Source organism: Homo sapiens, chromosome 16, assembly GCF_000001405.40.
Source record: "Homo sapiens chromosome 16, GRCh38.p14 Primary Assembly".
In the NCBI taxonomy this organism is placed as follows: domain Eukaryota; kingdom Metazoa; phylum Chordata; class Mammalia; order Primates; family Hominidae; genus Homo; species Homo sapiens.
This window is the reverse complement of record NC_000016.10, coordinates 31,975,197-32,003,039: the sequence shown is the minus strand read 5'-3', so window position 1 is coordinate 32,003,039 and position 27,843 is coordinate 31,975,197. Positions and strand designations below refer to the sequence as shown.

Here is a 27,843-nt window from a genome sequence, read left to right as displayed (position 1 = left end):
ACAGGAGGTGGGCACGGGGCAAGCTGGACTTCCCCAGGGAGGGAGAAGGCCCCCAACAGCCCCATCTCCATGGTGGCTGGCAGGGGAGGGCCCCGCTGGGGTGGCACAGGGAAGCTGGGCATCTGGCCAGGCATCTGGGACCCTCAGGAATGCAGTGTCCACCCTCCTGCCTCCCCACTCCCAGGCCCCTGTGCTCACCTGACCCCGGGTCACCAAGGGGCACTGTCCTGCCAATGTTGGGCAGGAGGTACTCAATGTTGGGCACTGCCTGAGGCTCCTTGTTGCCCACAGGGGTCTGCGAACAGGAGGAGGGGTCAGCTGGCATGCCCTTGGATGCTGGGCTGCCGACCCCCCAGAGGGGGGTGCCCTGATGACAGAGCCCGTGTCTCCTCCATCAGACCGGGCTCACTGGGGCAGGGACCGTCTCCCTCATCAGCCGGGTGCTCTTGAGGATGATTCCTACATGTCCCCTGTTAGACAGCTTTGTGCCTTCCTCAACATCTCAGAACCACGAAGGCCAGAGCGGCCCCTTCAGCTAGGGGCAGGAGCTGTGTCTCCCGCACTAGACTGGAACTCGTCCAACCTAAGTCCTTCTCAGTAGCCTGGAGGGCAGCAGCTGCCTTTACTCCTGAATTGGGTTCCCTCTGAGCAAGGCCTGTATCTCCCCCATTTAGACTGGGGATTCCTGAAGGCAAGCTTTGTGCTTCTCTATCAGACTAGGGGCTCCTGAGGAGAGGGTCTGTGTTTCCTCCATCAGACTTGAGGGAAGCCTCAAGGACAGACACCTTCCCCAGCTTAAGTCTCGCTGCCTGCCCCACCCCCAAGGACTGGGGCTCACCCCAGACCAGCCCCCATGCCAGCCCACTCCGCGGCATCACTTACTCTCTCTCTCCCTTGTCCTCTTCATCACTGAAGAACCAGTCTGACTGCAGAGAAGACAAAAGGAAGGGATGAAATCAGCATGGGAAAGAAGAGTCTCTTCCACCTGCTCATTCCAGAGGACCCACTCAGGCGGCAAGGGGCGCCTCTCTCTCAACAAACCCCTGGCTGGCGGGGCTGCAAAAGAGGGCTCAGAGGGAGCTTGACGGACGCTAAAACCTGACTCCACAGACTATGAAAAACCCTGGGGGAGAGAAAAGGTGGGACCCCAGTGTGGGAGGAGACACGGCAGTGAGTGGGAGCGGCCACCTCAGACAGGAGATAGGCTTAGGGAGAGCTTCGCTTTTACTTGCTTTTCTCTAAACACTGTCCTGGGCACACCCCTATGGTATACTCCCCACAGCGAGCCAGGGGCAGGGAGGCACCAGTGCCGTTAGTGTTGGCCAGGTCCATGGCTGTGACAGCCGAGCATGCCCCAGGCCACCTGCCACCCATGGGTGCCACACTGACAACAGGGATGTCACATACTCAGCCAAGAAAAGGAAAATGACAGGAGAAAGGTGTTGGAGGTTTCCTGAGGGGCAGGAGGCGAGAGCTTTCTCATAAAGGCCAAACAAGAGACAAAATAAAGACCCCCCACAGTTTAATATATTTTGTAAAATTTGAGAATCTTGAAGATAAAATTCTAAGTTTTCTGAAAAAAAAAATCCAGATTGCTTATAAATGAACACGTATCACAGGTACTTGGAACCTTCAGCAGCAAGACACAAGAAGACAAGACAAGAAAGTAAGTTTTGATGTGTTGAAGGAACCTAGAATTTTATACCCTGCTAAACTCTCATTTAAAAAAATGAGAATGTAAAATAAAGCTATACTTTTTTTTTTTTTTCCAACAGAATCTCACTCTGTCACCCAGGCTGGAGTGCAGTGGTGCAATCTTGGCTCACTGCAACCTCTGCCTCCTGTGTTCAAGTGATTCTCTGGCTTCAGCCTCCCAAGTAGCTGGGATTACAGGTGCATGCCATCACGCCTGGATAATTTTTGTATTTTTAGTAGAGATGGGGTTTCGTCATGTTGGCCAGACTGGTCTCAACTCCTGACCTCAAGTGATCCACCCACCTCCACCTCCCAAAGTGCTGGGATTACAGGCATACCACAGATTGTTTTAATCACCCCTTAAGTGAACCTCCTGCTTTCTGGAGCCACCACACCTGGCCTTGAAATAAAGCTATCCTGAGACAGCAGAAAATTTTTTACACAAAGACTCTCTTAATTGAATACTTGAGCAAGTAAAGAGATGGACTTCGGCAAGCTCCAAGAAATAACTAAGGCACTTTTGGCTTTTATTGTATTTATTAATTTATTTTTGAGATAGGGTCTCTCGCTGTTATCCAGGTTGGAATGCTGTGGCATGATCCTAGCTCACTGTACCCTTGAACTCCTGGGCTCAAGAGATTCTCCCACCTCAGCCTCCTGAATAGCTGGGACTACAGGCATGTGCCACCTTGCACAGCTAATTAAAAAAAATTGTAGATTTTGGGATTACAAGCATGAGCCACTGCACCCACCACTTTTGGCTTTTAGATGTGGTGGAAGGAAGACACAGAAACTGATAAGCATTAGAAATTGACAGTGACAGGCCGGGTGCAGTGACTCACACCTGTAATCCCAGCACTTTGGGAGGCTGAGGTGGGTGGATCACCTGAGGTCAGGAGTTTGAGACCAACCTGGCCAACATGGTGAAACCCCATCTCTACTAAAAATATAAAAATTAGCTGGGCATGGTTGTGCACACCTGTAATCCCAGCTACTCGGGAGGGTGAGGTGGGGGAATCACTTGAACCCGGGAGGCAGAGGTTGCAGTGAGCTGAGGTCGCACCACTGTACTCCAGCCTGGACAACAAGAGTGAAACTCCATTTCAAAAAAAATGAATAAAAATTAAGGCAATTACCCTTTACCCCCCTCAACACCTATGAAAGAACAGGAACAGGCAATTTATAATCTCATTATGTAGACTTAAAACACACAAAGAATATTATATACATTTAAGGATAGCCATGCATTTACAATAAGTGGAAGGTGTCCTGGAAGGACACATATTAGCCTACTAAGAGTGGGCACCTAGGGGAATAAAGAGGGGAAACAAGGGGACTTGCCGAGCATGCGCCATGAGCCTCAGTTATTATTGCTCATGATCTGACATGTGATTAAATCAAACAGCACAGGAAGGCCAGAAGGGAAACAAGAAAGAGACAGAAGAGAAGAGAGCAAAGGAAGATAAGAAAAATGCAAGCTCTGGCCGGGTACAGTGGCTCACACCTGTAGTCCCAGCACTTTGGGAGGCTGAGGCAGGTGCATCAGCTGAGGTCAGGAGTTCAATACCAGCCTGGTCAACAGGGTGAAACCCCAGCTCTACTAAAAATACAAAAATTAGCCCGGCATGGTGGCATGCGCCCATAATCCCAGCTACTTGGGGGTGCTGAGGTGGATCACTTGAGCCCAGGAGCCGGAGGCTGCAGTGAGTGGAGACCGCGCCATTGCACTCCAGCCTGGGCGACAGAGTGAGACTCTGTCTCAAAAAAAAAAAAAGAAAAGAAAAAGAAAAATGGAAGCTCTGGAGTCAGTTATCTTGGTTCGAGTTCACCTTAGCTAAGTTACTTTCCCTCTGTAAGTCTATTTACTTATCTCTAAAATGGGCATGATGTGAGTACCCCCTTCTAGGCCTGAGGAGGATTGAGATGAAATACTGTATGGAAAACGTTGAGTGCAGCACGTTTTTAATGTATAATAGATGTCAGCTACCGTTATTCAAAAGTGCGGCTTCCAGAGACAGGCTGACCAGGGGGAGCCTGAGGATCGGCCCAAAGAAGCCAGCTGTTAACTCAGGTTGGAAGGTGCCCAGAAGTACTCTGCAAGCCACAGCGTCTACAGGAAGTGCCTGGGTGGCCACGGCTCTCAAGAGGAATCCACACTAGTTCCTGCCACCCTGTTTCTGCACATGCTGTTCTTTCCGCCTGGGATGCCCTTTCTCCCTGCTCTGCCTGGCTAAGTTCTCATCATGGTCCTCTAAGGCAGTTCAAGAACTCCATGACTACGACCCCAGCCCTGCACCCAGGGCCAGGGTGGGTCCTTCTGTGGGGCTTCCTTGGACATAGCCCAGAGCAAAAAGAGATGCAGCTCTTACTCTGATAAACATTATTAAATGAATAAATGAATGAGAAACATCATTTTATGGATTTTTTTGTGTGTGTGTGGCAGGGTCTCACTCTGTCACCCAGGCTGGAGTGCAGTGTCACAATCTCGGCTCACTGCAGCCTCCCACCTCAGCCCCCCAAGTAGTTGAGACCACAGACACGCACCACCACACCCGCTGGCAATATTCCTTCTGAGCAGGCTCCCATTCACCTCCATGTTCCCAGCATGGGGATCTGTCTCTGGCATGGAATAATGACCATGAGGAAGAGGATGACAGTCAGTTCTCACACAACACTTAGGACCTGCCAGGCACCACCGTGAGTGCTTTAGCAGACATTCACAACAATGTGAGGTAAACAGTATTGTCATCTCTACTTTACAGGTGTGGAGACTGAGGCACAGCAGGTAAGGAACTTGTCCAAGGCCACACAGCACATAGGAGCAGGCTGGCCCTAGAGCCACTGCCGTCAATCCCCCACCCCAGGGGGCACTTGGCAATGTCTGGAGACATTTTTGATTGACAACTAGAGTGATATTCCCAGCATCCAGCAGGTAGAAGCCAGCGATGCTGCTAAATGTCCTATAACACACAGAACAGCCTCCCACAATAAAGACTTATCTGGACCTCAGTGGTCACTAGTGCTGAAGCTGAGAAACATTAGGTGTCACTGCCTTTGCTGAGTGAGTCCCTGAGCAAATGCCCTGGGTGATCTTTGTTTGGGTTCCACTTGACTTCGTAAACATAGGTAGAGGCTCCTGGCAACTTGCCCGCTGCAAGATCAGACATCCAGGTTTGCTCTCCTCTCTGCTCTGCCATTATCTTGCTGCGTGGCCCTGGGCAAGTCGCTGTTCCTCTTTACCCCTCAGTTGCCACCCTCTTTCCGACCTGAAGACTGGTCTGGGTGCCCCAAGTGACAGCAGCACTGCCCTGGCTATGGAGCCTCTGGGCTAGACAGAGCTGGCACGCTTGGGTGGGCAGGCTTTCAGGGCTTGCAGAGTGGGTGGCTCATTCCCTTGACAATCATCCAGGGCTGGTTACGTTCAAATGCCAAGGAGGCAGAGAAGGGAAGGACACTAGCTCAGTTAGCTCTCGGGAATGAATCTCTGAGTAGAAAAGCCCAGCCTGGCCGGGCGTGATGGCTCACACCTGTAATCCCAGCACTTTGGAAGGCCGAGATGGAGGATCGCTTGAGTCCAGGAGTTCAAGACTAGCCCTGGCAACATAGTAAGACCTCATCTCTACAAAAGAATACAAAAATTAGCCAGTTGGTGTGGTGGTGGCATCTCTAGTCCCAGCTACTCAGGAGGCTGAGATGGCAGGATCGCCTGAGCCTGGAAGTGGGCCATATTTGCCCACTGCACTCCAGTGTGGGCGACAGACTGACTCTATCAAAAAAAAACAAAAAAAAAAAAAAAAAAAAAAACAGAAAGCGAAAAGAAAGAGAGAGAAAGAAAGAGAAAGAAAAGCCCAGCCTGATATAACCTCAATTAGCAATTTACTCATTCATTTATACTCCACAAACACTGAGTATCCACTGTGTGCCAGGCGCTAGTGTCAGTGCTAAATGAGACAAACTCCACCTTCTCCACCCTGCCCAGAGCAGGGACTCCCCCTTGGGGCTTTGGCCTCCTTCCTCCCTGAAGGCTGCAGTTCCTGACACCTCAGCTGACCTCAGACCTTGGGCTTCCAGGGGCTTCTCCAGGAGCACAGGGCCAGACACCCACTCTTCCCTGCTGCTGCCCCCAAAACACACCCTCCTGGGAGGTTCCGGGGCTCCCTGGTGCCCTGGAGAGCTAAGCTTTCCCAAGGCCTCACCAGGATCCCCGACGCTGTAGGGCAGCCCTGGCCTCCCAGACAGCTCTGGAGTGGTGTTCCCAGTGTCCGGATGCAGCAGGCTGTGATGCTCCCTCCTGTGGCTCAGAGCCCTGAGCATGCAGTGAAGGAGGAGATGGGCAAGCAAGGCTGTTAACATGGCTCAGCTGCCCACCACCTTGCGTCCTTACCCTGGCCCCCTCCCTCCGTCCCAAGCCAGCTCAAGGAGGGACCTAGGAGTCTGGCCTTTGGGTTGATAGCAGGAGGAAAACACAGGCTTTGGTCAGTCAGATCTGGCTTGAAATCTTGGGCTGCCACTTATTAGCTGTGTGACCATGAGCAAGTTGCTTTGCCTCTCTGAGCCTGTTTCCTCCTCTGTAAAATGGGGGTGATAGGGCCCAGCTTTCCTTCCCTAAAGTGTCTAGGGGGCTTGGGACTGAGGCTTCCCTTCCTCTGACCAGCTGCCAGTCTTATTTCCCCTGGCAGGAGGGGCTCTGTTCTCATCCTCTGTGGGCTGTAACAAGAATTGGAAATGGAAAATCTATGATTCATAATGACATCTGTGTGTGCCCCAGAAGGCGGCAGTGCTGCCTTAGGGTCCGGCTCTGGAAGACCAAGGCCTCCTGAGCCCTCTGCTGGCCACTCTGGGTTCTCCTCCGCCCATGCACAGTAACAAGAACCTACAGGACCAGGGCTGTTGGCATCCAGGAAGCCATGAGAAGGGAGGTGGCCAGCCCAGTACATGCCAAGCACTGGTGCAGGATCCTGCCTCAGGCCAAGGCCCTGTGCCTTGCCCAATCCACCCCTTGTTACCATGGACATCACCACTACCTCCCCAAAACCTCAGTGGGGCCAGCAGGGAAAGTCACTAGAGCCGGGGCCTCCTGATGTCAGGCCAGACCTTGGCCCCCGTCTGCTCGTGTCTGCCAGGACACCTCTCCAGGGGCCACCTTCTGAAGCTGCCCCTTCCGCCCTCCACCTGTAGCACCTTCCCTGCCCTTCCTCCTCTTCTGCCTTTCCCAGGCATCTTGGACGCTCGGGGGCCTCTTGACTCTCCTGCTGGGGACACAACATCCCAGGGCAGCAAGGATTCCAGGATCCATTCCTGCCTTGCCTTGAAATGCAGCCCATGGCTTTGGAGGAGTATATACCACCCTAGCAGCATGCTCTAAAGCTGCCGAGCCCTTCCTGGGGCACACCCCGCCAGGCTGAGCAAGAGTGAGGGGCTCAGAGGAACATGGCCTGGGCCCCAGGGGCTGCCGGGTGACCCCCGGAACAGGGGCTTACGTGCTGGATCAGTGTCTCCACGATCTTGTAGCGGTCAGGCATGTGGGTCACCATGTCTGTCATGTTGTCCTCAGACGTCCTCACCAGTGTCCGCCCAAAGACCAGGGCCAGGTTCCGGGGTTCCATCTGGGCAGCAGGGAAAGCAGGTCACTGTCAACATCCTGAACTCAGTCCTCCCTCACTCTGGCCCCTAAGGCCTCTGTCCCCAACTACATCCTCACCAGTCCCCAGCTTAGAGGGTGGACACCCCCTTGTATGGGCATGGAGATGCTTGATGAGTAGAGCACAGGCCAGATTTCAGCCCCTTTCATCCCCAGGCCCAGCAGCCATGAGCAGTGCCCAACCTGCACACCTATACAGGGCAGCCCTGAGTGGTCAGTGCCAGCAGTGGGAGACCCTGCAGTAGGAAACATGTTGGAGGTCCCAGAGGTTATTTTAGGCCTGGGAAAAAACCCGATCACTTCCAGGTGCCTGTAATCCCAGCTACTCGGGAGGCTGAGGCAGGAGAATTGCTTGAACCCGGGAGGTGAAGGTTGCAGTGAGCTGAGATCGTGCCAAGGCACTGCAGACTGAGTGGCAGAGTGAGACTTCGTCTCAAAAAAACAAACAAACAAAAAACACAAAAAATCCTATCACTCCCTTCATTTTCCCCACTGCAGAACCAGAAGGCATAAGGGGTTTGATGAGGAAAATGCAATGCGAGGGACTTGAGCTAAGTTGGAGGATGGCAATGCATCGGATACGGGGAGCCGGGGTTCCCTGCCTCTGGAAAGCCCTCAGAAACTCAGGAGATGGCTCTCTGGGGGAAAGCACTGACCAGCATGTAGGAGCGGGATGCGGACGGAGCAGTCATATAGGAGGGCGTGCCTAGAGGGGCCTGAGTTATTGGACCTGCAGGAGCTCAGTGCATGCTGAGGGCCCCCACACAGTAAGTCCGTGCTTGCCTCCCCCAGACTCCATGCGGGACTCCTACCCACCTTGTTTTTCTCAGAGTGGTCAGTGATGGTCTTGAGATGGCCCACAAGGAATTTGAGCGTTTCAAAGTAGTGTCCTGGGAGATCCCGGATCTGAGCAGGAGAGAGGAGGGGCATGGGGACAGGCTGTAAGGGCCTGCCCCTGTCCCCCGTCACCACCATGCCCCAAAGATCTCCCACTACCATGCCTCAGGGAGTCTGGAATCTATCCTCTAACCCCCCGTTCTCTTGTGTGGATGGGGAAACTGAGGCCCTGAGTGGAGCAGGGCAAGGCCACAGGGGTCGTGGGTAACACCGGACTCCCTGCCTCCTGGGACAGAGGTGCTCAGGCAGCTGCCCCACCTCGTGCCTGGCAGCACCTCTCTCTCCTTACCAGCTTCCGCAGCGTCCTCATCCGCTCCCGCACGTCCTCAATGCAGTTGGCCTCGATGAAGTCATTGTATTTGTCTAGAACACAGCAGAGACTCTTTAGAGAGGTAGGGGCAGCACCTTACCCTGTTCTCCAGGCCGAGGGCCCTGCTGGGAGGGCTGTGTTTTGAACTCCTCCAGTTCGGGGGCTCCAGCGTGGGCGATAGCCTCTTGTGTATGTGAACACACCCACCACAGCTGCACTTACCACAGCTGCACTCACCACAGCTGCACTCACCACAGCTACACTCGGGTGTGCACCTGACCTGGGGTAGCCCAGCTGTGTTCATTTGGGAGGCAATACGACCTGAGGTGCATGCTGATCGCAGAAAAGGGGTCCATGCCCCCGTCTCCAGGACATGGACACCAAGGTTCAGCAGGTCAGAAGAGAAGGGCACCTGGAGAGGAGGAGGGGCTTCAGACAGCCTCGACCAAGGATTCCCCCAACTCCCTTCAGAACAATTCCATGGGGACCTTTAAAGAATGGAACATGATAAGCCTATTCTGAAATTCATCTGGATGAGCTAACGCACAAAGACAGCCAGGAATAGTTTTTAAAGAAAGAGTAACGCGGGAGGATCTGCCCTACCAGGGACTGAAACATCCTGAATGGATGGCACAGCTGAAGCCGGCTGGCATGGCAGAAAAGGCAGAGCAATGTTAAGGCTAGAAAGGGGGGAAGTGGGCCATGTGGATATTTATTATATGATAAAGGCAGCACTTCCAATCGGGGGGAGGGATGGGGGCCTCAACAGATGTCCCCGGGACAAATGGCTACCATCGGGGACGGGGGGGATCATTTCTAGCTCACAATACACAAATGCAATCACACGGCAGAGCCAATTGTGAAAATTATAAAAGCTCTGGGGAAAAATAAGAAAATATTTTTATAATCCTAAGGCCATCCTAAACATGAGATGCAGAATCCATGAAGAAAAGATGAACAGCTTTGGTCACATTTTAAACAATTGTTTTCGGCCAGGCACGGTGGCTCACGTCTGTCATCCCAACACGTTGGAAGGCTGAGGCACATCAGCTGATCACTTGAGGTCAGGAGTTCAAGACCAGCCTGGCCAATGTGGCAAAACCTCATCTTTACTAAAAATATAAAAATTAACTGGGCATGGTGGCAGGTGCCTGTAATCCCAGCTACTTGGGAGTCTGAGACAGGAGAATGGCTTGAACCTGGGAGGCCGAGGTTGCAATGAGCCGAGATCGTACCACTGCACTCCAGCCTGGGTGACAGAGTGAGACTCAGTCTCAAAAAAATAAATAAAATTAAATAAAAATAAAATTAAAAATTGTTAGGCAGGGCGCGGTGGCTCACGCCTGTAATCCCAGCACTTTGGGAGGCCAAGGAGGGTGGATCATCTGAGGTCAGGAATTTGAGACCAGCCTGGCCAACATGGTGAAACCCCGTCTCTACCAAAAATACAAAAATTAGCTGGGCATGATGGTGGGCACCTGTAATCCCAGCTGTTCGGGAGACTGAGGCAGAAGAATCGCTTGAACCCAGGAGGCAGAAGTTGCAGTGAGCCGAGATCGCACCATTGCACTCCAGCCTGGGCGACAAGAGTGAAACTCTGTCTCAAAAAACAAAACAAAACAACAACAAAAAAAAATTTGTTTTCAGTTTCTATACTGCAAAGTGAAAAGGCAAATGGCAGGCCAAAGCAAATATTTGCAAAGACTAACAAAGGGTTAATATGTGTAAAACACAAAGAGCTTTTCTCCCACAAATCAACATAAGAAAAAGATAAACAACCCAACAGAAAAATGGGCACATGGTCTGATCAAGCAATTACAGAGAAAATAGAAACAGCCAATATGCTAATGAAAAAAGATTTAATCTCCCTAGTAATGAGGGCAATGAAAATAAAAACAATAATGAGATACCATTTCTCTTATCTGATTAGCAAAAGTTTAAAATATTAATAATATTTAATGCTGTCTGGGTGAGGTGGCTCAAGCCTAAAATCCCAGCACTTTGAAAGGCCGAGGAGCGATGATCACTTTAGACCAGGAGTTGAAGACCAGCCTGAGCAACGTAGTGAGACCCTGCCTCTACCAAAAAAAATTTTTTTTTAATTAGATGGGTATGGTGGCACAAACCTGTAGTCCCAGCTACTCAGGAGGCTGAGATGGGAGGATCACTTGAGCCCAGGAGGTTGAGGCTGCAGTGAGCCATGATTGCGCCACTGCATTCCAGTCTGGGCAACAGAGCAAGATCCTGTGTCAAATAATAGTATTTTTATTTTTATTTTATTGTATTATTTATTTATTTATTTATTTTGAGATGGAGTCTTGCTCTGTCACCCAGGCTGAAGTGCAGTGGTGCGATCTCAGCTCACTGCAACCTCTGCCTCCTGGGATCAAGCAATTCTCCTGTCTCAGCCTCCCTAGCAGCTGGGACTACAGGCACCCGCCACCACACCCAGCTAATTTTTGTATTTTTAGTAGAGACGGGGTTTCACCACAGTCAGGCTGGTCTTGAACTCCTGACCTCAGGTGATCCACCCGCCTCAGCCTTCCAAAGTGCTGAGATCACAGGCATAAGCCACCATGCCTGGCCTTCAAATAACAATAATAGTTGTAATATCCAATGCTGTTGCGGATGTGGAGAGACAGACTCCTACATTGTTAGTGGGAGTCTAAATCAGGGCCTCTTTCTCAGAGTGCAATTGACACTGGTCTCAGAAAGGTTCACCAGGACTTTGACCCAGCAATTCTACATCTAAGAATCCCCTTAGAGAGCACAGATCCAGGCGTGCAAGGACTTATTCAAGGAAAGCCATTGCAACAGGTTGTGTGATAGCAAACATTTGAAGACAAGCTAAATATCCATCAATAGAGGAGTACTTAAAGAAATTATAGTCTATTCAAACCATGAAATTCTATGTGGCTGATTTAAAAGAAGAATGAGGTAGAGCTCTCTGCACTGACACGAATGAATCTCAGAATTACAACCCTGCTTTTGTTAAAAACAACTCAACCAGCGGTGTGCTGGAGTCCGCTCACACCAGCTCCTGAGAGCAACTGTGTGCCTCTCTTCCCAATTCCATGTTGGTGACATCATGTTGGTGGCTTGAAATAAACCATGGTAGGAGTATTTACACCATGGAAGCTGGAAAATGCTAGGCATTAGGGCTTTTTTCTCCCAGAAACAGATGTTAAACATCTGCCAGCACACCCCTGAACCCACCCAACTCCAAACCCCACGCAGGCACGTCTGTATCTCTGCCATGCATATAAGAGGGCCAGGAGAGAAACACAACAGATCGTGAATAAGCAGTTCAGCAAACGGCCAAAGTCCATCGGAGCCCGACGCCTGGGGCGGAATCCTGGCTCTGCCATTTACAACCTGTGTGACCTTGGGCAAGGCATTAAACCTCTCTGAGCCTTGGTTTCCTCATCTGTAGAGGGAAGACAATAGCACCTTCCTCATGGAGTTGCTGTAGGGAGTTGTGCTTGGCACACACTAATGCTCAGAAAGTGTTAGCCACAACCTCCCGTGAAAGGGAGGAGGAGATTCACAGGGTCCTGTGCTGTTTTTATTCACATCTGTACAATCTATGTTTTTTTAATAAGCTTTTGTGTTAAAAAAAAAAAAAAAAAAAAAAGCCAGCGTGGTGGCTCATGCCTGTAATCCCAGCATTTTGTGGGGCTGGGGCAGGCAGGAGGATTGCTTGAGCCCAAGAGTGCAACACCAGTCTGAGCAACATAGTGAGAAACTCCCCCCATCTCTGAAAAAAACTTTTAAATTAGCTGGGTGTGGTGGTGTTCACCTGCTGTCTCAGCTACTCAGGAGGCTGAGGTGGGAGGATCGCTTGAGCCCAGTAGCTTGAGGCTGCAATGAGCCGTGATTGCGCCACTGCACTCCAGCCTGGGCAACAGAGCAAGACTGTCTCCAAAAAAATAAATAAATAAAAGAGTAAAACCAACAAACCAAATGCAAAAGTAGTGGTCAGGGTGCGGCACAGACTGGTGTCCCCTCCCCACCCCCATTTCCACCTCCTACTCACCAGCAGTGAAAAGAGGCTCGGGCAGCTTTCGGAAGAAGGACTTGAGCAGGCTGTTGATCACATTGAGGTCTTGCCAGCGCTGGGGGAGGAGTCAGATGTCAGGCCACAGGCAAGCCTAGCCCAATGCCCATGCCTCCATGATCATTCACCCCAGAGCCCAATCAAGCCCACCAGGCCCTCCCTGGGACCCACTTAGACTAAGCTCTCTACTCATCAGGATGGTGGCAGCAGAACTGAGTCCCCAGAGAGGTCCTGTGCCCACACTCACACTTGGCCCCAGCCCCTCCCTGCTCCTGCCAGCGCGTGGGCTCCAACACCTCCCCATTCACAGAAAGTCCCAGGCACTGTGGGGACACAGTGAGTGGCAGCTGCTGCCTCCACTGGACACAGTTTAAGCATCTGTGACACAGCAGTCATTCATGCCAGCTCCTTCCTGTCTCAGGTCCTCTGCATGTGCTGGTTCCCTCAACCAGAACTTTCCTCCCCGCCTCCACACAACTGGCTCCTCATCCCCGCCTAAAAGTCGCTCTTCAAAGAGGCCTTCTCTGACCCTCATAGCTAAAGCAGCCACCTTCACCACTGCCCTGTCACCTGCACCCCAGCCCTGACTTTGTTTCCTTCATGGCGCTTAACCCAATTTGTCATTATTTTCTGCTTTTGTTTCTATGTTCATGCCTGTCTCCCTGCAGGACTGTAAGCTCCAGGAGGAGCCAGGATCCCGTCTGTCTCATTTCCCACTGTGCTCCTATCACCTAGCTAGGACAGTTAACCTGATACTTACATGGCCCTAAATCAGTAGTTCTAACAGAAGGAGGCAATTTTGTCCCCCAAACTCCCACTCCACCCCCAGAGGACATTTGACAATGTCTGGAGCCATTTTGATTTTCCCAACTGGGAGGTGACACTTTCATCTAGTGGATCGAGGCCAGGGATGATTCCAAATTTCCTCCAGTGCACAGGGCAACCCCACACAACAAATAATTGTTCTTCCCAAAATGTCCACTGAGGTTGAGAAACCCTACTCTAAAATAAATGGTTGTTGAGTACAAGAACTAACGGCCGGGTCGTTGTCCCTTCTGTCCTCCAGGGGGCAGCATCACCCCACATTGCAACCAAGTCGGGCACAGCCGCCTCGCTGGGAATGGCTCACAATAACTCAGGCCCAGAAAGCGACCTAATACCCCCAACAAAGAGACACAGCACAGCAGTACACACACTCATTACAATGGATCCACAGCTTAATGCCAGACAATCCCATAAACAATACACTCCGCACAGGCTCACCAGGGGTTAGATTCATCCCCCACTACACTTACTCCCAGCACGACCCACAACAAATGACACAATGATATCCAAGACAAAACAACACACCCAATATACCTTGTATGCCCCCAGCTGGCCCTGGCTTGGACCAGTTGCCTGCCAGCACGGCCCCCTCATCTCACACACACCCAGTGCGGCTCCTGCCCACCCGACTCCGTTACCTCCTGGCCCTCAGGTGTGAGCTCCTCTCATCTCCCAGCTGCCAAACCCAATGCCCTGGCCAGTGCTTCCTGGCTCCTCCAGAGTGAAGTGTCTGCCCTCACCCCAGCCTCACCGGCGGTCCTCTCCTTCTGTCCCACTCAGCACGTGGCCCCTGCTGTTCTGCGGCCCACCCTTGGTCATCCCATGCCCCAGCTGCAGCAGGACCCATGCCACTCTCTAGTCCACGCTCAATCTAGCGCCTGTTTATGCCCTCGCCCCATGCAAGGGACTTTCCATACCCCAAATCCAATGGAGCCACTCCCTGAGACGGCCCCTCCCTTCCACCTCTCCTCACGCTGCCCTACTCCCTGGTTTCTGCCAGGGGAAGATACCACCAGCCCCAGCTCAAACATGCGGCTCTTCCTCGCCCGTCCTTCCTCCCTCTCATGCAGCCAACTCTTAGGGTTGCTCCCATCCTCCCCCTTCCCCCGGGACCACCAAGTCCTCCCGACACTTAGCGCTTCCATAGATCAGTGACTTCTCCCCAGACCCCTGCCCTCCGCATTCGTATCCAATGGACATGAGCAGGAGCATTACTCTTTCTTGAACTTTGTACTCATGATGCCTCCCCAGCTTAAGAAGCATCAAAAGCTCCCTACTGTCCATCAGATCAAGGTCGAAGTCTTCAGTGAAGCCATCACATGCCCTCTCTGTCCCCCTGGGGCCTCACCCTCTCCACCTTCATGCCCAGGAGGTAGATCCACTCTCTGTCCTAACCCTCAAGCCCTCCCTGGCCCTTGCTGGGGTTTTGGAAAATGCCACCGTCTCACACCCCGAAAGGCTTCCTGTCCACCTACCCCCTCCTATTCATTCCTCCAATACTCAAATCCTCCAGCCACCACCTGCTCCAGCCTGAGCACCCTGTCCTTCCTCATCACAGTGTGGTCCCTGATGAGAGATCATCTTTTTCTCCTGTCCACAATTTCACACACACTTGTCTCAGCTCCTCATTCTCCAAGGACAGGAAGACTTGTGTATTCCATGAGCCTTCACGTGTGTGACTCATGGGACATCACTGCCCATGTTCATGGTTTTCCAAAATATCTTTTTTATCAGAGCCCCTTTGGGCAAATAAAATTGTACGTGAAAACCCAGTACAACAGACAGGGCAAAGCAGGGTTGCTCTAGCAAGGACACGGGGTCCTGACCTGACCCTGGCCTCCCAAGGCCCCTCTGGGGAACCCTAGGACTCTGGGGAACACCCTTTGAGAATCGCCGGCCCTACTGGAAACACTTAAGTGTGATTGCAGATTCCTTCACAGGCTGGTCTCATCTCGCCTGATCAGCCACTTCTCTTTCCATGTTGCAGCCACCCAAATGGCTGGCCATTCTAGAAAACATCATATATTCCCCTTTTTCTAAGCCGGCAGTTTGTAAAACATGATCTGTAGGCAATATCTAGCCACAGCCTTCTTTTGGATGGCCCTTGAGCTAAGTATGGTTTTTACGTTGTTAAAGGATTAGGAAGAGAAGGAGGAGGAAGAGAAGGGGGGAATGCAACAGAGCAAACTACAGCAGAAAATATTTACTCTCTGCCTTCTACAGAGAAAGCTGGTTGACTCCTGGCACACTTTTCGCGTCTACACCATTGCGCAGGCCATTCTGCTGCCTGGAATGCCCTCAGCTGGCTTTCACCGGCCTTTGGTGAACTCTACTCATCCTAAACACTCGGACAAAACTGCCGTTTGTGAGCCTCTGCCTCAGAGCTCCCCAGGCCATGACTGCATTTACTTGGTCAGCTTCAGCCTGGGGTGATGCCCATCCCCAGGCTGGCCAGCGGGGGCAGGTCCCATCTTGCCCATCTTGGTGTCCTGGACCAATGCCGGGCATGTCATAGGGCACAATGCATGCAACACAATAGACCACAGAACTCTCCAAGCGGAGCACCACCCACACACCATCTCAGCCCCCCTTCCACAGACCCCCCAGCTTCACCCACCTCATCCTGCTGGTTGATGTCACCAGGCCCAGGATTGAGCTGCTCCTGTAGGCTGGACACCACTGCATTGTTGCCAGGCACTCGGTAAAAGCCTGTGGACTCCAGCCCTCGTGCCTCCACAATGTGACAGCGTGCAGCCACGATTAAGGGGACATGCTGGGGACACAGGGGAGGGGTGTTAGGGGGGACAGGGGCCAGAGGAGCTGGGGAGGCCAAGAAGGGGACAATGCAAGGCCCAGAGCTGCTGCCAGGAACCCTTGGGGGGAACAAAAGGCCCTTGCTGCCTCCAGTCTGGGAGCTACAAATGACACCAAAGCCTCGCCATGGTCTGAGAAGGAGCCGGGCTCAGCCTCAGCCCTGCTGCTCCCTCCCTGGGAGGCCCAGGGCAGGCAGGGACCTTCCCCTCTCTGGGCTGTTTTCCCAGCTGTGTTTGTACAATGAGGTGGAGAGCTTGTTCCATGTCCCTTGCTGCTCTGACCCTCTGTGCCTTGGTCTCCCCCTGCCGGGCCTGCTCTGGCGTGTGGCAGAGACCCACCTGGTTCTCCGTGGCTGGCTGGCACTCCTCCAGCCTGACCCCAAATGCCCTTGGGGCAGCCTTCTTATTTTTCTTGATGATGTTGATGCCCCAGGGGGTTTTGGGGGCTGCAGCACTGTCATCTGAAGTGGGGGAGACAGAGCCAGAGTGAGCTGGAGTATCCAGGAGGGTCGCACACATTCACTGCCACATTCACACATTTGGACGTATGGGGATTCCATCAGAGAAGAAACCAGATGCCCAGGGCTGATGGGACATTGTATGGCAAGAGAGAAGGCCTGAAGGGGAGGATGCTTACCCCAAAGGAGAGGCCCAGAGCAATGCAAGGACTTCTGTGTGGCTCGTGGGCCAAAACTACAAGGCGGAAGCCATAGAACTTTGTTTCTTTAGAGACAGGGTCTCTGTCGCTCAGGCTATAGTGCAGTGGTATGATCATAGCTCAATGCAGCCTCAAATTCCTGGGCTCAAGCAATCTTCCCTCCCCAGCCTCCCGAGTGGCTGGGACTATAAGCTCATACCACCACACCTGGCTAATTAAAAAAAATTTTTTTGCCAGGCACAGTGGCTTATGCTTGTAATCCCAGCACTTTGGGAAGCTGAGGCCGGCAGGACCACATGAGGCCAGGAGTTCGAGACCAGCTGGCCAACATGGCAAAACCCTGTCTCTACTAAACATACAAAAATTAGCTGGGCGTGGGTCGGGTGCGGTGGCTTACGCCTGTAATCCCAGCACTATGGGAGGCCGAGGCAGGCGGATCACAAGGTCAGGAGATCGAGACCATCCTGGCTAACACGGTGAAACCCCGTCTCCGCTAAAAATACAAAAAAATTAGCCAGGTGTGGTGTCGGGCACCTGTAGTCCCAGCTACTCAGGAGGCTGAGGCAGGAGAACGGCGCGAACCCAGGAGGCGGAGCTTTCAGTGAGCCGAGATCACACCACTGCACTCCAGCCTGCGCAACAGAGCAAGACTCCATCTCAAAAAAAAAAAAAAAAAAAAATTAGCCAGGCGGGGTGGCGCATGCCTGTAATCCCAGTTACTAGGGGGGCTGAGGCACAAGAATCGCTTTAACCCAAGAGGTGGAGGTTGCGATGAGCTGAGATCATGCCACTGCACTCCAGCCTGAGTGACAGAACAAGACTCTGTCTCTAAATAAATAAATAATATATAAAAAAATATTTTGTAGGGATAGGACCTTGCTATGTTACCCAGGCTGGTCTCAAACTCCTGGCCTCAAGCAATCCTCCAGCCTCAGCCTCCCAAAATGATGCTGGGATTATAGGTGTCAGCCACCATGCCTGCTGGCCCAAGGGAACAACTTTCTTTTATTTATTTATTTATTTATTTATTTTTTTTGAGACAGGGTCTCGCTCTGTCACCCAGGCTGGAGTGCAGTGGTGTGATCTCGGCTCACTGCAACCTCCACCTCCCAGGCTCAAGTGATTCTCGTGTCTCAGCCTCCCAAGTAGTTGGGATTACAGGCGCACACCACCACGCCCGGGTACTTTTATTGTATTTTTTTTTTGAGACGGAGTCTTGCTCTGTCACCCAGGCTAGAGTGCAGTGGCGCGATCTTGGCTCAATGCAAGCTCCGCCTCCCGGGTTCATGCCATTCTCCTGCCTCAGCCTCCTGAGTAGCTGGGACTACAGGTGCCTGCCACCATGCCCAGCTAATTTTTTGTGTTTTTTAGTAGAGATGGGGTTTCACCGTGTTAGCCAGGATGGTCTCGATCTCTTGACCTTGTGATCCACCCGCCTCGGCCTCCCAAAGTGCTGGGATTACAGGCGTGAGCCACCGTGCCCGGCCTTTTGTATTTTTAGTAGAGTTGGGGTTTCGCCATGTTGGTCAGGCTGGTCTTGAACTCCTGACCTCAGGTGATCTGCCTGTCTTGGCCTCCCAAAGTGCTGGGATTACAGGTGTGAGCCACCTTGCCCAGCCAGGTAAGAACTTTCTAATAGCCAAAGGTGAGGGAAATGGGAAAGGTTGCTCTTGGAAAGGGTGGGCCTCTCATCCCTGCAGAGACACCAGCAAAGATTAGAGGACCACCCAGCAGGGATATCAGGGACGGGAATCAGGCTCCAGGCCCTTCCACCCCAAGACCCTGAGAGCCCCCAGACCCTCACAGGCATGCACATGCAGACAGACATACCGGTAACCCTGGCACACAGTCAGGCACACACGAGCAGACACAGCCCAACACACACACACATGCTCTCCCCTCTCCATGCCCTCTTCCCCAACACACCACCCTGTCTCAGTGGCCACCTTCCTACCCTTGCTCCCTGCAGGCAGGTCCTGAGTCCTGAGGCCACGTGCCGCACTCTGCTTGAGGAACTCAGACTTGAGGCCCCCCAGGCCGCGAGAGCCTTTGGGGGAGGAATCAGCTTTAGGCCCAGAGCTATGGCTGTGTAGGAAAAAGCGGGAGAGGAGAGGTCTTCACTTGGGGTGGCCAAGCAGGCCACCCACCCTGGCCTCCTGCCCCTCGGGACATCCCCTCCACCCTGAGGCAATGCCTCCATGCCAAACTGCAGCCTGGAGACCCTGGATACCCTGGATACCCCTTCCCCCAGCAGAGGGCAGCCCTGGAGGTGGTCCAGGAAGACATCCTCTGCCTTCAGCCCCCTACCACCCCCACAAAGGAGACTGCTCCATGAGGGCTAGGCCTCACCTCACTTTGCGATAATCATTAAGCTTCTTGCTGATCAGAGCTTGGTTGGCACAGCCGGGGTCCTGAAGCAGGAGAGGAGAGAGCGGATCATGTCAGTGCCCACAGCCAGCCCACCCCTGGGTTCATCCCTAGCCCTGCTTCCCCTCTTGTCCACCTGCCAGGTGGACAGCCCAGACCCTGGAGTGAGAAAGACCAGGCCTGGACTCCCCAGCACCCTCTCACCAGCTGAGGCCTTGGGGAAGCCTCTTAGCCTCTCTGAGCCTCAGTCTCCTCGGTAATAAACATGGGGGGCTAAAAGGGAAGGCTCGGGGCTGGGTGCAGAATCATGCAGCGCTCGCCACTTTCCTGGCAGATGCTGAGCAGGCATGGAGGAGGTGCCCCAGGAGGGACTGCTACTGCCATAGTGATGTGGCTTGGAACCCCCCTGACTAAGCCTTGTTGGAGACAGCCAAGCCAGGCCCCCAGAGGAGGAGGCCCAAATTCCAGGTGCCTTCCTCCCTGCAGTGGGGAAAGCTGTTCCCGGGAGAGCAGAGCCTGGTCAGCAAGAGGATGTGTCCTCAGCAAGAGGCCATGCAGTAGCCCCCCCTCCCACGGCCAGAGCAGGCCCAGGCCCACTGCCCTCTTGGCAGAGACCCCAGGCCCGGGACGCCCACATGACTTTGTGTGGGTGTCTCAAGGCACTTCTGTGCAGGCTCCTGGCCAAAGAAGTAAACAGGGAGGAATCCCTACCTAGGCCCCTGGAGTGTAGCTACAGCTGACCGCAATGGGCGCCATTAAAAAAAAATTCTTCGGCTGGGCGCAGTGGCTCACACCTGTAATCCCAGCACTTTGGGAGGCTGAGGTGGGAGGATCATGAGGTCAGGAGATCAAGACCATCCTGGCTAACACAGTGAAACCCCGTCTCTATTAAAAAAAAATTAGCCAGGCATGGTGGCATGTGCCTATAGTCTCAGCTACTCAGGAGGCTAAGGCAGGAGAATCACTTGAACCTGGGAGGCGGAGGTTGCAGTGAGCTGAGATCGCGCCACTGCACTCCAGCCTGGGCAGCAGAGCGAGACTCTGTCTCAAAAAAAAAAAAAAAAAATTCTCCCAAAATCCCTGCCGAGGCCCTTGGCTCCAACCCTGCCCACCTGTGGCCAAAGGCCAAGCCTCTCAGCCTCCTCACAAGGTCAATGTGTTCATCCTCCTGCAGACAGGCCAGCCCAGTGCAGTTCTGGTGCCGGGACACTCATGCCCTAACACACTCCATAGGAGGCCCCTGCCTTCCTCGCCTGCTGAGAAAAGCTGAGACTGGCCTGGAGCTGACCACTCCACATCAGAGCCTGCTCAAGGCGATCCTAACACAGTCACAATAATCCCTGTCATCATTAGGATCAGGATGGTGACTGCTGGTCCCCGCACCCGAGGACGCCAGGTCCTCCATGAGCCCTGCCCTTGCACCCTCGTCACCCCGAAACCTAGGGGGACACAATCACGAGGTGCACTCCTGTCAGCCCCCCTTTCTAGCAGAGGGAAGTGAGGCTCAGAGCGGACATCCCAGGTCCACAGCCGGTGAGAGGCCACCCCGCCCGCCCTCTGTGGCCGCCGGGCTGGCCGGGCCCTCACCTCGCCCTCGGCCCTGCTGTTCTCCCGGATCGCTCTGATCCAGCCCAGCATGTCATCCCGGTCCTCAGCCTGAAAGGGATATTCACAGAAGTCAGCGGTGGTCAGCCGGAACACGTGCCTCCTCTTGGTCTCGCTGTAGGAGATGTCCACGAGGCAGGAGCCGATGCAGACGGGCGCCGCCTCGTCCTCACCTGCGCCGGCCGCCGCAGCCCCCGCCGCCGCCAGCCCGGGCTCCCGCCGCTCCTTGCTCAGCGAGAGCGAGCGCGCCAGCAGCGCGGCGTACACCCGCTTCCACTGGCGCAGGCCGCTGCCCACTTTCTGCAGGGAGACACGGGGTTGGGGGGAACAGGAGTGGTGAGAGGTCAGTTCTGCCCACTGCTCTCACAGTAGCAGACAGAGGACAGCCGGGGGATGGACCCCACGCTGCCTACCAGGAGCCCCCTGCTCCACCCGGCTAGACCTGGGCAGCCTCCTGCCCACAGCCCACCAATGCTTTCTCAGTCCCTCGCCTGCCTAGACACCCCTACCCATCACCCTAAAGCCCGCCAGCAGACCCCAACCCTCTCCCCCTCTAAACACCAGCATCAACACTCACCGAGCGGTGGCAATGCTCAGACACCCAGCATGGCCCTCCGTACATGAAATCCTCGGGAAGCCATTCCCAGCCCACGCCCCTCCCCAGGCTGCCCCTCATCCCAGCAAACCTGCTCAGAAGCTGTCCGCACTCTTAGAGGGTTGTTCTCCCCACTTTCCTGCCGCCCACCCAAGACTCCACTTGCCCAGAAGCTCCTCTCAGGGACACCCAGAACCGCCATGTGGCCAAAGCCAATGGCTGCTTCTCCCCAACTTGCCTTAACCCCTTGGCGGCATCTGACACAGCCAGCCCCTCCTTCCCTCTCCAGACCCCATCTCGGCACCTGAGACCCCACGTTCCCGGCTTTCTTCCTAATGCCACTGGCTCCTTCCTAGTCTTCTCTACTTCCCCTCCCCCACCCTCTACACCTGTAAACAGCCAGGAGACTCGTCCCCACGGGACATTTGTGTGGAGGGAGCTGGAGGGTGTGCTATGGCATCTGAGGGATGCGGCTAAACATTGTGCAATGCACAGGACAGCCTCCCCCAACAAGGAATTATCTGGCTCAAAATGTCAGCAGAGCGGAGGGTAACAGACCCCGCCCTAAAGGAGGCGGAGCTCCAGAACTTTGTCCTGACTCTCCCCTCCTCTCCTCTCCCTGCACACCTCCCTCAAGGATGTCACCTGTGCCGTGCCTTTAAACCAGGTCCATCTGCTGATGGCCATTCCCGAGCCCAGCATCTCCCCCAGCCACAGCCCGGCACCCCCACCCTGCTCAGTGTCTTCATTTGCAGGTCCCATGGGCACTCTGCACAATACTTGCCAGGCCATGTGATTTCTTACCATCAAACCTCTTCTCCACTCTCTACCCCCATCTTTTCCAGCTCAGTCAATCCATCCAGTTGTCCAGAAACCTGGGAGCTGCCCTTGACTCCTCCCTTTTCCTCGCCCTTGACATCCCATCCATCAGGAAGTCACAACTGTTCTGCCTCCAAAACATCCCCTGTCTCTGTCTTTCCTGCCAGAGGAAAGACATCTTTCCATGCCATCAACGCCTCTTGCTTGGAGAATGCACAGACCTTCCCAGTCTCTACTCTTGCTCCTGCATCCATTCTCCAGCAGCAGCTGCAGCGATCATGTTAGAATGAAAAGGAGATCACATCTCTCCCCTGCTCAGCATCCTCTCAAGAGATCCCATCGCCCTCAGAATCAAATCTAAAGTCTCCTGTGGTCTGTCCCTGCCTTTCTCCAAATTCATCTTCACACCTTTCTCACTATGTCAAGCCAGGGGGCCCTTGCAGGTGAGCGAGCCAAGCCTTTCTTTTCTCAGGGCCTCTCCGCTTGCTGTTCCTTCTGCCTAAGCCCCCCTCCCTCACTTCTATATGTGGCTGCTTCCTTCTTCCCCTTCAGATCTGAACTCCAGCATCACCAATGTCACCTCCTCAGCGAGGCCTTCACTGGCCATATTTCTCCCTCAATGCAGCTCCCGCTTCTGATCAGCTTGATCCTTTCCAAGAACTTACTGCAGCCTCAGGCTGTCCTGGGGACAGGGAGCTTGTCCGTCCTCTCATTTCCATATCCCAGGGCCTACAGCAGCATGCAAGCGCTCATCAATATTTGCTGAATAAATGAATTAATGATCCTTGGAGCACCCTGAGGGCAGGAGCTCCATCTCCCATCAGACCAAGAGCTCCTCTCTGCTGGCTGGTGGCTCCACATCCAGCACAGGCCTCAGCTCTCCGAACAAACCAGACAAAGAGATCCCGTGGCTGGCAGATGGGCACAGCCCACATCTGGCCTCCCATCATGTGGATCCTGAGCTGTGAGCCCTGCTCATCACAGAACTGCTGGAGGGGGACAGGGACATTCAGAGTAGGAGACAGCAGAGCCCTCCAGGGAGAATTTTAATGTGACAGTGAGGTGGTGACAAGGGCACCTCTCTGAGGCTAAACCAGCGGCATGACCTATGACAAGTCAACCGCACTCCCAGGCCTCAGTGTCTCCGGCTGGTAAATGAGTGAGGGAGTTGGTCACCAAGGCTGCATGCAGCTCCCATGCTGGGGCTGAGGCTGCGGGGACAAGTCACTGTCCCTTTCCCTCCTCTGCCTGACAGTCCGTGTCTCTGAAAGAGGCTGGGGCTGGGAGGGAGCACAGAGAGGGTGCCCACGGCCTGGGTGGACCAAGGGCCTGAGGCTGACTTGAAGACTGTCCTCTAACGTCCAGGCCACGGCACCAAAGGAACAAGTGACATCGGGTTTTGGCCAGCAAGGGAGTGGAGGCCTGGTCCTCCAGAACTGGCCAGTGAGCAGGAAGGGGACAGCTCCTGTCCCTGAACTGGGCTCAGGGCCCCCAGGAGCTGAGGGTCAGGCCCCCCAGCAGGGGGAACCAGCCACCCTCACAAGGACCCTTCATGTGGCTCACACGTTAGACTGGAAGGGCTGGCCCACTTGCGGCTCTCCTCGCACAGTGCACGTGGCTGGTCCCTCCTTGCCTCATGGCTCCCACCCCACGGGTCGCTGCCAACTTGCTGGCTCTTTTTGGTCTCTGTTGGCCTCCCCGACCCCCCCACTTCTCTCAAGGCTCAGCCAGGTCTCTTGCCTTCTTCCTTCAAGCCCCTGCACAGAGGCATATGTAACTCGTGGGTGCTGACAGACAAAGGCTGTCCCCAGGTGGGCCTCCCTCTAGTAACACGCCCTCAGAGCCTCTGTCCCCAGGACATCTCCACTGGGGTCTGTCCCAGGGCCCTCAGACTCACATAGCCCCAGTGGAGCCACCTGGCTTCCTCTCCCCAAACCTGCTCCTCCAGTGTGCCATGGCCCAGGGAGGGTCTCACCACCCACCACCCTCCCTCAGCCCAAGCCAGGAATCCAGGAACCTTATCGCCTCCTCCTCCTTCCATACCTCCCAGCAGCCGGCAAGCCCTGGCCATCCTTCCCATGGAATCTCTCTCTAAAGTGTCCGCTCCACACAGCCCCACACCACTGCCTTGGGTCGGGGCCCCCACCCTCACTCACCTGGACAAGGGCAATGGGATTGGCTCCTCCTGTCACAGACATAACCCCAGTCTCCTGCCAGCCCCAGCCCACATTTAAAACCCTGGACAGAGCCGGGCACGGTGGCTCACGCCTGTAATCCAAGCGCTTTGGGAGGCCAAGGCAGGCAGATCACTTGAGGTCAGGAGTTCGAGACCAGCCTGGCCAACATAGTGAAACCCAGTCTCTACTAAAACTACAAAAATTAGCTGGGTGTGGTAGCAGGCGCCTGTAGTCCTAGCTACCCAGAAGGCTGAGGCTCGAGAATTGCTTGAACCCGGGGGGCGGAGGTTGCAGTGAGCTGAGATCGTACCACTGCACTCCAGCCTGGGCAACAGAGTGAAACTCCGTCTCAAAAATAGATAAAATAAAATAAAATAAAATAAAATAAAATAAAATAAAATAAAATAAAATAAAATAAAAAAACCCTGGACAGGCTCTTTCTGGGTATGAAGGCCCCACACTCTGGGCAGGCGCCCAATTCCCCAGCTCATCTTCCACCTCTCGCCCTGGCTCCCAGCACACCTCTCCCCACCTCTCCCCAGGACCCTCTAAGGAGACATCCTCCCTGTCAGGCCCCTCCACTGTCTCCCAGTTTTGTGGCTTCTCATCCTTTCGTGTCTCAGCCTCTGGATACCTCCCTACCCATGCCCACCTGCCCCTGCACCCGGGCATCACGGCAGTCTGTGCACTTGGAACCATGATGCCACATGCGTTCTCTCCGCTCAACAGGAGCAACAGGAGCCCCAGGAGGGCAGGGCTGCCCTGGCTCCCTCACCACTAACTCCCCAGAACCTCCACAGAGGCTCCCGAGCAGGGAGGCCTTAGTCATTCTCCACGGAGGCGCATCAGTCCCGCCTCGACTTCACCCTCACTTAATCCACAGCAGCCCTTGGGGTAGGATAACATTGTTCCCATCGTACAGATCAGAAAGTGAGGCTCGGGGAAGGTAAGTGGGGTGCCCAAAGCCATGTGCTTGATATGTGGCTGGATAGGAACTCGAAGTCTGTCTGCTTCAAAGCTTATGTTCTTTCCAGGGACCCTCAAGACCCCAGAAGGCAGGGCAGAAAATTCAAATAGCAGTAAGTGGGCTGGGCACAGTGGCTCACGCCTGTAATCCCAGCACTTTGGGAGGCCGAGGTGGGTGGATCACCTGAGGTCAGGAGTTCAAGACCAGTCTGGCCAACATAGTGAAACCCAGTCTCTATTAAAAATTCAAAAATTACCCAGGTGTGGTGGCACACGCCTGTAATCCCAGCTGCTCGGGAGGCTGAGGCAGGACAATAGCTTGAACCCAGGAGGTGGACGTTGCAGTGAGCCAAGATCATGCCACTACACTCCAGACTGGGCAATAGAGTGAGACTCTGTCTCAAAACAAACAAACAGCCAGGGCTATCACAGGCCTGATCCTGCCTCCCCAGGTCCTGAGGCTGGGAACTCCACCTGTCCACCAATCTCAACCCTGTGTCCAGGCCACACCTTTCCAGTGTCCACCCCGACCCCATCCCATGAAGACAAGACGCGATGCAAATACTGACTCAGGGTAGTGAAGGAAACAAATGAAGCCCCAAATATAAGCTCGGGGAGCTTCTATTCTAGCTGGGGAGCCAGGCAGGGAGGAAGAGAAACACCAATTGTGCATGAGGCGTGCTGAGGAGGAAAACAGAGTAGCGAAGGGAGGCATGAAATGTCAGGAGTGGAGGCTGGAATTTCAGGGAAGACCTAAAAAGCTGCAAAGACAGTGGAGAAGTGAGTCGTGTGGCTATGGGGGATGGGTCTGGAAAGAGGCAGTCCAGACGGGGGCCCCTGGGTGGGGCTGCATGGTGTCATTCAGGGATGTCGGGGCCCACAGCAGAGGGCTGGTCCCGCGGTGGACACAAGGGTGAGGGGTGCAGGGAGGAGGGGGAAGGCAGGAGCTGGAGCAGGAACCCCCATGCCGAGGCTGTGGCCCCACCTCCCTGACACCCTCTCTCCCCACACCCTCACTCCTGCGCACACACACAGACCTGCAACTCACCCCGTCTGTGAAGAAGCTCCGGAGCAACGGCAGGCTGGGTATGCGGTTTGGCAGGTGCCTGGGAAGCAAGGGTGGAGGGTGAGGGATGTGGGCAGCAAAGCTGGGACCTCACTATCTCGTCACCCACCAAACCCCAAGCCCAGAAGCCTTCCAGCGGGGGAGGCACACTGTCCCATGCATAGAGGACCCCCAAGGCCAAAAGCCCTGCCCCAGAGCAGCTGGCCAGGGTGGCTGTGGCCACCCCACCCCATGTCCAGACAGGGCCTCACCGCAGAACCTGGCCCTCGTCGCGGAAGGTGTTGAGTCCATCATCGCAGGACTTGGAGCGCTCCGTGGTGATGGCCAGCAGGTAGGAGGAGCGGCGGCCAGCTTTGATGCTGCCTGCAAAGCCGCCCGCATCGGGCCTCAGGGTCAGCGGGGCAGCAGGTCAGGGGCTTCCCAGAGCCCTCCCTTCTAGGCAGGGGCAGGAGGTGACTCTTCCAAGGTGCCCCAGGAGAAGCGGAAACCAGAGGAAGAGGCCAGGCATCAAGCAGCAGACCCAACAGAGACCCCTGGGACTGGGCAGCGAGGGAAAGGGTGGGGCTGGGGGTGTGGGGAGCGCTCACTGCAGTCCCGCGAGTAATGCCGTCCGAGGGTGAAGGTGAAGGTCGGGGAAGATGGGCTGGTGCCCAGGACAGCGGCTGAGTTCATGGCACTGGAGACCACAGCAAAAGCAGGGACATGCCTGGCTTGGAGGTCAGTGCTGGGGCTGGTGGGCTCATCTATGCATGTGGAAGGAGAAAGGTGTGAAGGCGGCAGACAGCGGAACCTGCTTGCCTCCACCCTAGCCTTGCCAGCCCCCGTGCCACTCACCTCCAGGCTCAGACACATCCCAAAGGGTCCTGCTGGCAACATGCCCACTGTCAAGTGTGACTGGCCCACTGTCCAGACTGTGGCCATGGAATCCTTACCCTCAGGAGTGGGGCTGAGACACTCTCCTTAGACTGGGCTCCTGAGGACAGAGCCAATATTCCCCCATCAGACTGGGAGCCTCCTGAGGGCAGGGACGGTGTCTCCCCCATCAGACTGAGGGCACTCAGAGAGAATGAATTATGTCTCCCCTCTCAGACCAAGAGCCTCCTGAGGGCAGGGACAGCGTCTTCCCCATCAGACTGAGAGCTTCCTAAGGGCAAAAGCTCCCCCATCAGCTGGGGCTCCTCGAGGGCAGAGATGACATCTCCCATCAAACAGAGTGTGCTCTGGAAGAAGAGACTGCCTCTCCCGGCCACAGCCTAGAGCCTTTCATCAGGGATCAGTGGTGTGGATGGGGCCCTTGAGACAATCCAGTGAGATCTGGAAGTGAAGAAAAAGATTATAATCTGGGATAAATA

At 54.4% G+C, this 27,843-nt stretch overlaps 1 pseudogene; it reads right to left on the bottom strand.

The window, feature by feature from the left end:
• LOC388248 (Rho GTPase activating protein 23 pseudogene) lies at positions 199-27,253 on the bottom strand (annotated as a pseudogene).